This window comes from Homo sapiens, chromosome 2 (genome assembly GCF_000001405.40).
Source record: "Homo sapiens chromosome 2, GRCh38.p14 Primary Assembly".
NCBI lineage: Eukaryota > Metazoa > Chordata > Mammalia > Primates > Hominidae > Homo > Homo sapiens.
The window spans coordinates 75,662,446-75,672,231 of record NC_000002.12 but is presented as its reverse complement, the minus strand read 5'-3'; the positions used below and the strand labels follow the sequence as shown (position 1 = coordinate 75,672,231).

Sequence of the window (9,786 nt, the reverse complement as noted above, 5' to 3'; positions counted from 1 at the left end):
TAAATATATATTTTATAAACATATTTATAAATATATAAATATATATTTTATAAATAAATATATATTTTATTTATAAAATAAAATAAACAATCTCTATTTATATTCCATTAAGGCTTAGTTTGGTTGGTTTAAAAGAAAGTCTGATCTTAAACTCTGGTTCTGAAAGACTAATAGTTCTTTGCATTTTCTCTTCTCTTTCGTTTGTTTCTAATTAGTGCTGTAGAAAACAAAACATCACCTCATTCAAAGTTCCAAGAAAGACAGTTCTGGTCAGGCCTAAAGGTGAGCAAAAACTGCAAAAATGAAAAGGCAATTTTTGTAAAAATCCTGTTTACTATAGAACAAAGAACAACAAACTTCTTCTATAAGAATTAGATAGTATTTTAGGCTTTGTGGTCACATGGTCTCTGTCGAATTACTCAACTCTGCCGCTGTAGCACAAAAACAGTCATAGTACATAAACAAATGAACATGGCTGTTTGAATAAAACTTATGAACACTGAAATTTGAATGTCATATAATTTCCTCATGGTACAAAATATTTTGTTTAAAGACAGTTTTAAAACGTCCTTGAAAAGTGTTAAAACCATTCTTAGCTCACGGACCCTATAAAAACAGGCAACAGGATGGATTTAACCCACAAGCTATATAGTTGGCTAACCCCTGGCCTTAAAATTATTGCTAAGTCAGTGGCAGTAGGGATGAGAAGGAGAAGAAGGTTCAAACAATGTTTGGGAGGAAGCATTGAAAGGAGTCGATAACTGATCAAGGGAAGATAAGATCTATTTTGTACATAATGAAGATATATGTGGGACAAATAGAGATACAGAGGTCTAGGAGGTGGTTGGATACATAAGTCTGAATTTCAGGAGACAGATCTGAGCTAGAGATTTGGGAGTCCACTACCTGTAGGTAATATTTGGAGCCATGGTCATGAATGGCAAGCTGCGTAAGGAGACTGGATGAAGCATGAGAAGTAGGCCAAGGACAGAACCTCGGGAAATACTAACAGAAGAGGAGAACATGGAGGCTTCAGGGAATCTGTAGAATCAATTATGAGCCTTAGGATGATCACAAGAGAATGGCCTCAAGGAAGCTAAATGAAAGATTTTCAAGAATGAAGAAAAGAGTGTTAAATGCCACCAAAGAGTATTAAGAGAAAGACTGAAACACTGTTTATTGGATTTGACAATTAGAAGGATATAGGTGACCTCACCAAGAGTAGTTTTAATAGTGTGAATTAATATTTGTCATGTGGTTGAATCAGGGAAAAGGCTTTCTGGGAAGAGGGAACAACATCAACAATGAGATAAAATGTGAAAAAGCATTACATTTTAGTAAAACAGCATGTAGTTCAGCACTCAGAGTAATGAATATAGTACTGCAAAAAAAGAAACACCTTAAAATTCACAGAAAGATCTGAATTTAGTAGAGGGAAAGGACAACCAATATTTTATTAGAATTTATTATGGTTACTTAATCCAAGTTATCTTCAAACTCAAAGGTGATTATAAATCTTTATGTATCAGAGGAATGAAGCTCTCAGCGTTGATTGCCTTCTCAAGGTCACATGTTGGTAATGGCGGCCCTAGTTTTGACAGTAGTTCTTTATGAATCACGTGGTCCTGTGGTCTTATACTTGATGGCCCCCGGCTTTGAGAGAAAATGGATTGGGAAGGAAGATTATTGATCTGGAAAGGCTCTAGTGAAGTTATTTGAGATAGATTTGGGGATGGTTATCCTAGAAAATGAAAATAAGATGAGCAAATACATGGAGTTTGGAAAGAATCAAGTATTTATTCAGAGATATTGTATTCTAAAATTGACAGTTCCAACAGGGCTAATTGTAGTGAGAATTTTAGTTTGACCAACTCTTCATGTTTGTTAGAGACTATTACAGTTTCTCTTTGGAGAAAAGGTACATATTTACTTGATATTTTATTTTAGCTCTTCCGCAATATTCTTCTTTGGAATGGACTCCTTACAGATGACACCTTGCAAGAACTAGGACTAGGGAAGCTGCTAAATCGTTACCTTATTATAGCACTTCTCAATGCCACACCTGGGCCAGATGTGGTTAAAAAGTGCAACCAGGTAAGTTGTGAAGGAAGACTGATTCTAATTTTATCATTTCTAAAAAATTTAGCTATTAAAATCTATTATTTAGCAAAATAATTAAATGTGTGGTACTCATATATAGACAAATGGGCCAGGCACAGTGGCTCATGCCTGTAATCCCAGCACTTTGGGAGGCTGAGGCAGGCGGATTGCGTGAGGTCAGGAGTTTGAGACCAGCCTCACCAACATGGTGAAACTCCGTCTCTACTAAAGATACAAAAATTAGCCAGGTGCGGTGGCTAACACCTGTAATCCCAGCTACTTGGGTGGCTGAGGCAGAAGAATCGCCTGAACCCAGGAGGCAGACGTTGCAGTGAGCCGCCATTGCACTCCAGCCTGGGTGACAAGAGCAAAACTCCATCTCAAAAAAAAAAATTGACAAATGAATTTAACAAAGCTAAAATGCAGAGCCGCTCTTCTGTATTTAAGAAAGAGTATACTGGTTTGAAATATCCCCAGTAGGGAAAGGAAAAATTACTTAATAAATGATGCTAGATGGCTGGCTGTTTACAAAAAGAATGTTAAGTCCTCACCTCTCACTATACACCAAAAAAATTTCAGGTAAAATTTTAAAAAATGTAAAAATGAAACTATAAAATATACTAAGATGGTAAATGACTATATTTGAGAGTGAGGGAGTTCCTTCTAAACTTAAAGGCAAAAGAAGAAATTATGAGAAAAAGTAATAAATTTGAAAAAATATAAAACTTTAGTGGATCAAAAAGGTATTGGGATTAATTGATTATTATTAAAACTGGGGAATGTGTTCATTGGGCTCATTATACTATTCTTTCTACTGCTGTTTGTGTTTGAAATTTTGTATAATAGAAAGTTAGAAAAGTTAAGAATCTAGGAAATAAAAAGTTGTTAACATGTAACAAGTGTTAATATTCACATTAAATAAAAAAGCTCTTTACAATTTAGTAAATAATTCAAATGTTCTGACTAAAAATGGCCAAAACACGTGCAACAGTAAAGTCACCTAAAAGGATATGTAAAACTAACCTTAAAATATGTGAAAATAATTAATAGTACTAATAATCAGAGAAATGGAAATTATTTATAGGAAGGATATTTACTTGACCAGTTGTGTTGGCAAACATTTTTTGGCGTTGTTATTTTACTTACGATTTCCAGTGTTATAAACACAGGAAAACAACAGTTCCATCATTGCAGGGGCACCATTCACTGTATGCAGTGCAGTGGTTCTGGAAAACAGTCTCCTGCACTGGGGGAAGGAGGGATACAGCTCTTTTGGAGAGTATTTTGGCATGATGGATACAAAACTTTTAAAGCTTATATTCTTTGACTTAGCCAAAGTAAGTTAAGTCAAAAATTAGAGATGCACATATAGATTTTAAGTACAAAGAATATTGTTATAGCATTATTTATAATAGAAAATAGTTGGAAACACCTACATATCCCTAAAAACATGATGGTCTTCTCATAAGATAAAAATGTGAAAGGAAAATAAATCTCAGAACCTGTCTCAGATACTTTTGGGTTCACAAAAGTTATGTTTTTGAAGAATTTTTAAGAATATGGGAAAATAATTATTTTATAATTAAAAACACATACACACTAAACTGTTCCCAGATAGAATAGGGTCCATCTGCTTGTTCTTGCAGCCCAATAACAAGATGCAGACAGACTGGGAAAGAAAGGAGCTTATTTTTGCAACCAGTTACAGGGAAAAGGTTGTAGCAACTCACCAGACCAACTGAAAGTTACAATTTGGTTTTTTGTTTTGTTTTGTTTTGTTTTGTTTTGTTTTCTTTAGCACTTATATGCATTCTAAGCTCCATGCTACATGGGAGAGTGCATCTACAAGTGAGAGTGTTTCATTCAGTCTGTACAATCTAACTACCGTCTGGGGTCTGTAAAGCTTTCTCTAAAGTCTTGGAAAGTTTTTTAATCTTAAGTGGGCCCTGGTACAAAGAGTATGTGTAAGAATGCTTTCATTATTTGATCAGACTTTAGGATCTGGGAAAACTCAGGCAGGGTCTTAATGGGTTTGTTTTCGCATTCCAGTTCTTGTACTCAGGCACCAGTTTCTCTAGCTCTTTAATGTTTAACTTACACATTCATCAAAATTATAGAAAAGGGTTAGTGGAAATTGATTCATCTGGTTGCTAATGGAAACCTAGTCTGCCATAAAACTATATATCAATTAGTAGCCAACCATGATTGTTCTGGCTATAGTTTTTATATCATAGTTTTAAGCATTATATATTAAAAATTTAAATCATCATCCATGTAATGTTGTTCAGGTTTAGTTTAGTCCCCTTTGACCATAGGGTCTATTATGAAGTGGAGAAGAGGAAATATATTTACACAGCATTCTTTCCACAGCATATGGTTAGAAAACCAGGCCAAGAAAATCGACTTTTAGTGCTGGGATCATTAACGCAAAAGCTACATGGTTAAATGAGAATTTTACTGAGACTTGTAATACAAAACAAGGGGAAAACAAGTGCAAATGACATTCAATAGTAAAGGGTGGTTTTAAAACTTTTAAAAAGAGTTTACATAACAAAACTTGTAGGATCTTCTGCCTTAGGCAGTCAGTGTGTCAGTATTTTTCCTGAATAGTTGAAACAGGTGATTAAGGAGTAGAATTCTTTTTCCTCAACCATGTTTTAAATGCTGACCAATCTTAGAAAGAGCGCATTCCAGAACGTTTATTTAATATACTGTATAATATATAGGGTGCATTTTAATTTTTTCCCCAACTCTCTGCTTTCTATATTGATCTTGATGTTACCAAATGTAGCATAATCTGTATGATTATCTAGGAATTTCCTTGAATAGTGTGATATTGTGACAGGCCAGGTTTCCATTAGCAAACAGAACGATCAGTTTCCAAGAACCCGTTACTATAACGTTAATGAAAGTGTAAGCTAAACATTAAAAAACTGGAGAAACTGGTGCCTGAGTACAAAACTGGAATGCAAAAACCAACCCATTAAGAACCTGCCTGGGTTTTCTCAGCCCCTGAAATCTGATGGAATAATAAAAGCATTCTTACACATACACCTCATTCTGTCTTAAGATTAAGAAACTTTCCAAGACTCTCGAGAAAGCTTTCCAGACCCTAGTCCCTAGCTAAAGATGAGATAGAGATTGAATGCAACACTCCCACTTGCAGTTACAATCCCACACGTAGCACGGAGCTTTAAATATATACAAGCACTAGAAAAAAGCTTAGAACTTTGAGTTGGTCTGGTGAGTTACTCTGACCTCCCTTCTTTCCCAATTGTCTGCATCTCGTTTTCGGACCTCAAGAGCAGGCAGCCATACTTTGTTCTCTCCGGGAACAATATCAAGTTTTTTTCCTTTCTCCCCTTTTCCCTCCCTTCTTTACCCTTGTTTCTGCTATGAGGAAGTTTTTTTTTTTTTTACTTTTTAAATTTTTTCTAACATTTTTCTGTTTTTACCAAAACTTTTCTCAAAATCTTGTATTACTCTTAGGATGACAATGATAAAATGTAATTTCCATTTCCAAAAGAAAAATTGAATGCACCTACATTGATTCATTCTGCTGCTTTACAATTAAGGCAATGTATTACACTGATAGAAGATTAAAAACATAATTAATTTATCTTTCATTCTTTGTATCTTAGAATCACCCATTTGGTTCCTTAACTCCATATAGATCATATGCTAGGCCATCCAATTTCTTTATAAAATAATAGTGAATGTATGTATTTTAGAGTTGTATTGACCAAATATTTTGTGTCTAGACATTTTTGGTTTTTAGTTGTAAATTATGTTTTGTACAGATTTAATGACTCACAAATACAAGAATATAGAAAGAATTACTAGTACTACCAGGGAGTGTTCATAGAGAGTAGTGTATTTTAAGTTCTTAGCATTAAAGAATGAATTCCAAAATATATGTAGCCTTGGACACAAAGGGAAATCTTTAGAAATTTTTATTTAACCATAAACTATAAAATGGGGAGAATGATACTCAGCTTACAGTATCACTATGAGATTATATTAGCAAGATTTCTTAGATAACTGTCATTGTAAACCAGCCATGTGTTTTGATTAACAGGTAGCAGCATGTCTACCAGAAAAATGGTTTGAAAATTCTGCCATGAGGACATCTATTCCACAGCTAGAAAACTTCATTCAGTTTTTATTGCAGTCTGCACATAAATTATCTAGAAGTGAATTCAGGTAATGCATATTTTATTTTCACTTCTATAAAGAGAGTTCATGGATTCTGTATGCTCTCAACAACTTTTAGAAAGATTTGTATTTTTACTGTACTTTTAAAAATTTGTTAAAACTTTGTAGAGTTAGTAGATATTTTTATGGTTACCTTTGGGATGGCTTATGCATATCCATATTTTAAAATGTAAATCTCCCCCAAATTAAGCAAATTCAAAAAACTATAGCACAGGGGAATATAGAATTAAAACTATAAATCAAAAACATTTTATTAAGCACTTTTTAAATGTGTTTTTAATTTTCCTGTCCATTTTTAGAGACTCAACAGTTGTTAAGTACAGGTCTCCAGCTTGGTATTTATCCAGCAGTAGCTAGCTCTCTGTTCTGAATGTTTCGTTCACAGCACCAGCTGTTTGGGGGCTTAAATACAGTGGTATTCCTGTTAACTCCCTCTCCAAAAAAAATTTTTAAGCCCAGATTTGGCCGGGCATGGTGGCTCACGCCTGTAATGTTAGCACTTTGGGAGGCTGAGGCAGGAGGATCACTTGAGCCCAGGAGTTTGAGAACAGCCTGGGAAACATAGCAAGACCCTGTCTCTAGAACAAAAAATTTAAAAATTAGCTAGGCATGGTGGCATGCGCCTGAGTCCCAGCTACTGAGGATGCAGAGGTGGGAAGATTGCTTGAGCCTGAGAGGTTGAGGCTGCAGTGAGCTATGATTGTGCCACTGTACTCCAGTCTGACCAGCAGAGCCAAGACCAAGTCCCTTTAAAAAAAAAAAAAATCAGATTTGTATTATTTGCTAATGTCATGATGTGTGAATATACTCCCACCATTGCTTCCACCACAATGTCTCATACAAGCTAATAGCAACGCAGCACTACTGAAATTTCTGATAGACTTACTATATGCTTTTCTACCTTTTACAGTAATTCACATTGAAATTTGCCAGAATACATCCACTAATGATCTGTATTTGAACTTTATAATTAAGTGGAGATGGCAGCATCTCTCTGTGTTTTATGCTACTTTAGATATTGGCTTAAGGTAAAGCTTTTGTTTTAGATTAACAACTGATGATCAGGTTCTGAATTGACCGCTGTTCCCTCATACATTGCATTTTTAAAGGGAGAAATTTGTTTTGTTTTTCAGGGATGAAGTCGAAGAAATAATTCTTATTTTGGTGAAAATAAAAGCTTTGAATCAAGCAGAATCCTTCATAGGAGAGCATCACCTAGACCATCTTAAATCACTAATTAAAGAAGATTGAATAAACTTTATTGGAAAATGCTAAAATTTTAATATAGTTACACTCAGTTCCTTTGTTTGAGAAGAAGCTGGTGCCTCTCTCTTCTTTATTCCCTGTAATAGAAGGTAGGATTTGAAAAAAAGCAGGACTCCACCTCTGTATTCCCCCGTGCTTTACCTTCTGGCATCATGAAAAGCTGCCATGATTCTGTGGTGTTCTAAGGAATTAAATGCACTGGAGCTTTAAGAGCTCAACGTGTTTCCCTTTGATTCTTTTGGCTGGTCTTTCAATTTTCTTAAGAGGGGAACTGGAGAAACCTTGCTAAAGGTTTTAGCTTAAGTGAGCATGCTACTAAGTCTTCTGTCCTGAACCACAATAATATCTTTTAGTTCTCTTTAACTACCTTTATTTAAAAATAAGTCAATATGAAAATCTCAGTTGGAGTGAATTATTTGCTAAGTATTAAATGATTAAGGCATGTGCCGATTGTCAAATTATCCTTCAGAAATCTGTACCAATTTAATGTACCAACATAAGCATAAGTGAGTGCCAATGAATCCCTACCAGCAGTAGTTATTATCCTTTTTAAAAATGCATTGAAAATTTGAAAGGTAAAAATCTTATTTTAATAGCGTATTTTGTGTTGGCTATTAGAGAGTAAACATATTGGTTTTGGCCATTTGTAATTATTTCTGAAATATCCATCTTTTTCTTATGGACTTTAAGACCTTTATATTTTTAAAGATATTGATTTTTTGCCCATGCTTGTGGCAGAAGTTTTCCTTATTTGCCATTTTTCTTTTATTTTTTTTTTAATTGTATTTTTTGAGACAGGGTCTGGCTCTGTCACCCAGGCTGGAGAGTAGTGGCACAATCTCGGCTCACTGCAACCTCTGCCTTCTGGGCTCAAGCAATCCTCCCACTTCAACCTCCCAAGTAGCTGGGACTATAGGCATGCGCCACCATGCCCAGCTGATTTTTGTAATTTTTTGTAGAGATGGGGTTTCGTGACATTGCCCAGGCTGGTCTCGAACTCTTGAGCTCAAGCAGTCTACCCACCTTGACCTCCCAAAGTGCTGGGATTACAGGCTTGAGCAACCATGTTTGGCCTTTCTTTTAAATTTGTTGATGTTTTTTGAAGCATTAAGTCATTACTTATTAGCAAGTTACTATTTTGTTTTTTTGTCATTGGTGGTAGGACTAAGAAGGAAACAGATATTTTAAATACTCACAACATGTGATTCATTTTCTGATAAAATATTTGTCTAATAAAACAGAGGCAAGATAATTTAATCAAAAGAAATTAAGAAAATTTTCCAAAAATGTTAGTTTACTAGTAATTTTTCTAAGTCTACTTATTAAATAACTTAAGGGAAACTGTAAATATATTTTGCAAATTGTTGTTCAAAAGATAATTGGAAAAAATTGAATATATTGTAGGATTTGAATATACAGCCTACTTTTATGTCACCTCTACCTTCAAAACTACATATAATTTATTTTAGGAGTTGGATTTGTTATGTCTGTTGCAGTGAGGACTTGTGATTCACTGGTATGAAGAATTTTTTGATGTTTATATTAGTAACAAAATTATACAAGGATAGAATCTCATCTAGAAAATGCAAACTATTGTTGAAAAGCAGTTAGCATTTCCACACAACCGCTGTCCCCAGAGATAACTGCTGTTTTCATTTTAATGTTATCCTTTTAGACCTTTTCTCTATTTACAAAAATGTTACGTGTTTCTATGTGTACATAGTTTTGGGTTTTTTTTTTTTTTTTACGTAAGTGGCAGACACTTTATTGCACATGAAATTTGTAATTTTTTTCTATTTAAGTACACATTTGGAAATTATCCTCTGACTTTTGGATTTTTAACTAAATATGTTGGACGTGTTCCTTTATATATTTAAGTTCAGCACAGAAACTTTCCTACCTTTTTGTGGAAGATAAAATATTAAAACTGCTTTCAAAACTACAAATTGACTTAAACTGCTATAGTAATTTTCAATTAAATTTCATTATACCTGGAGTTTGAACGTTAAGGTTTTTATCATATACTGTAATTCAAAAATTTACCTAAATCTCAATGTAAAATTCTTTTTTTTCTTATTACTATGAAATGGATGGAATAAGGAGGGGGAACACAACTAGCAAGAACAAAACATTGGGTTGGCAATTGATATCACATCTTAATTCTTTCCCTGAATTTCTTTCAGCTTTTTGTTCACATAAAGAATG

At 34.2% G+C, this 9,786-nt stretch overlaps 1 protein-coding gene across 8 annotated transcripts in view; it reads left to right on the top strand.

The window, feature by feature from the left end:
• The window catches only part of GCFC2 (GC-rich sequence DNA-binding factor 2), a 50,418-nt gene extending 40,891 nt beyond the window's left edge, over window positions 1–9,527 (top strand). For 7 of the 8 annotated variants that reach the window (XM_047445615.1, XM_011533074.4, NM_001410845.1 and 4 more), the window contains 4 exons: window positions 216–282; window positions 1,948–2,094; window positions 6,179–6,303; window positions 7,449–9,527. In XM_047445615.1, coding sequence (XP_047301571.1) covers window positions 216–282; window positions 1,948–2,094; window positions 6,179–6,303; window positions 7,449–7,566 — 457 coding nt within the window. In that variant the 3' untranslated portion in view covers window positions 7,567–9,527. Of the gene's footprint in view, window positions 1–215; window positions 283–1,947; window positions 2,095–6,178; window positions 6,304–7,448 lie in introns of those variants that run through there. The other variant, XR_007080682.1, reaches the window with a different exon arrangement.
• The last annotated feature ends 259 nt before the right edge of the window (window positions 9,528–9,786 follow it).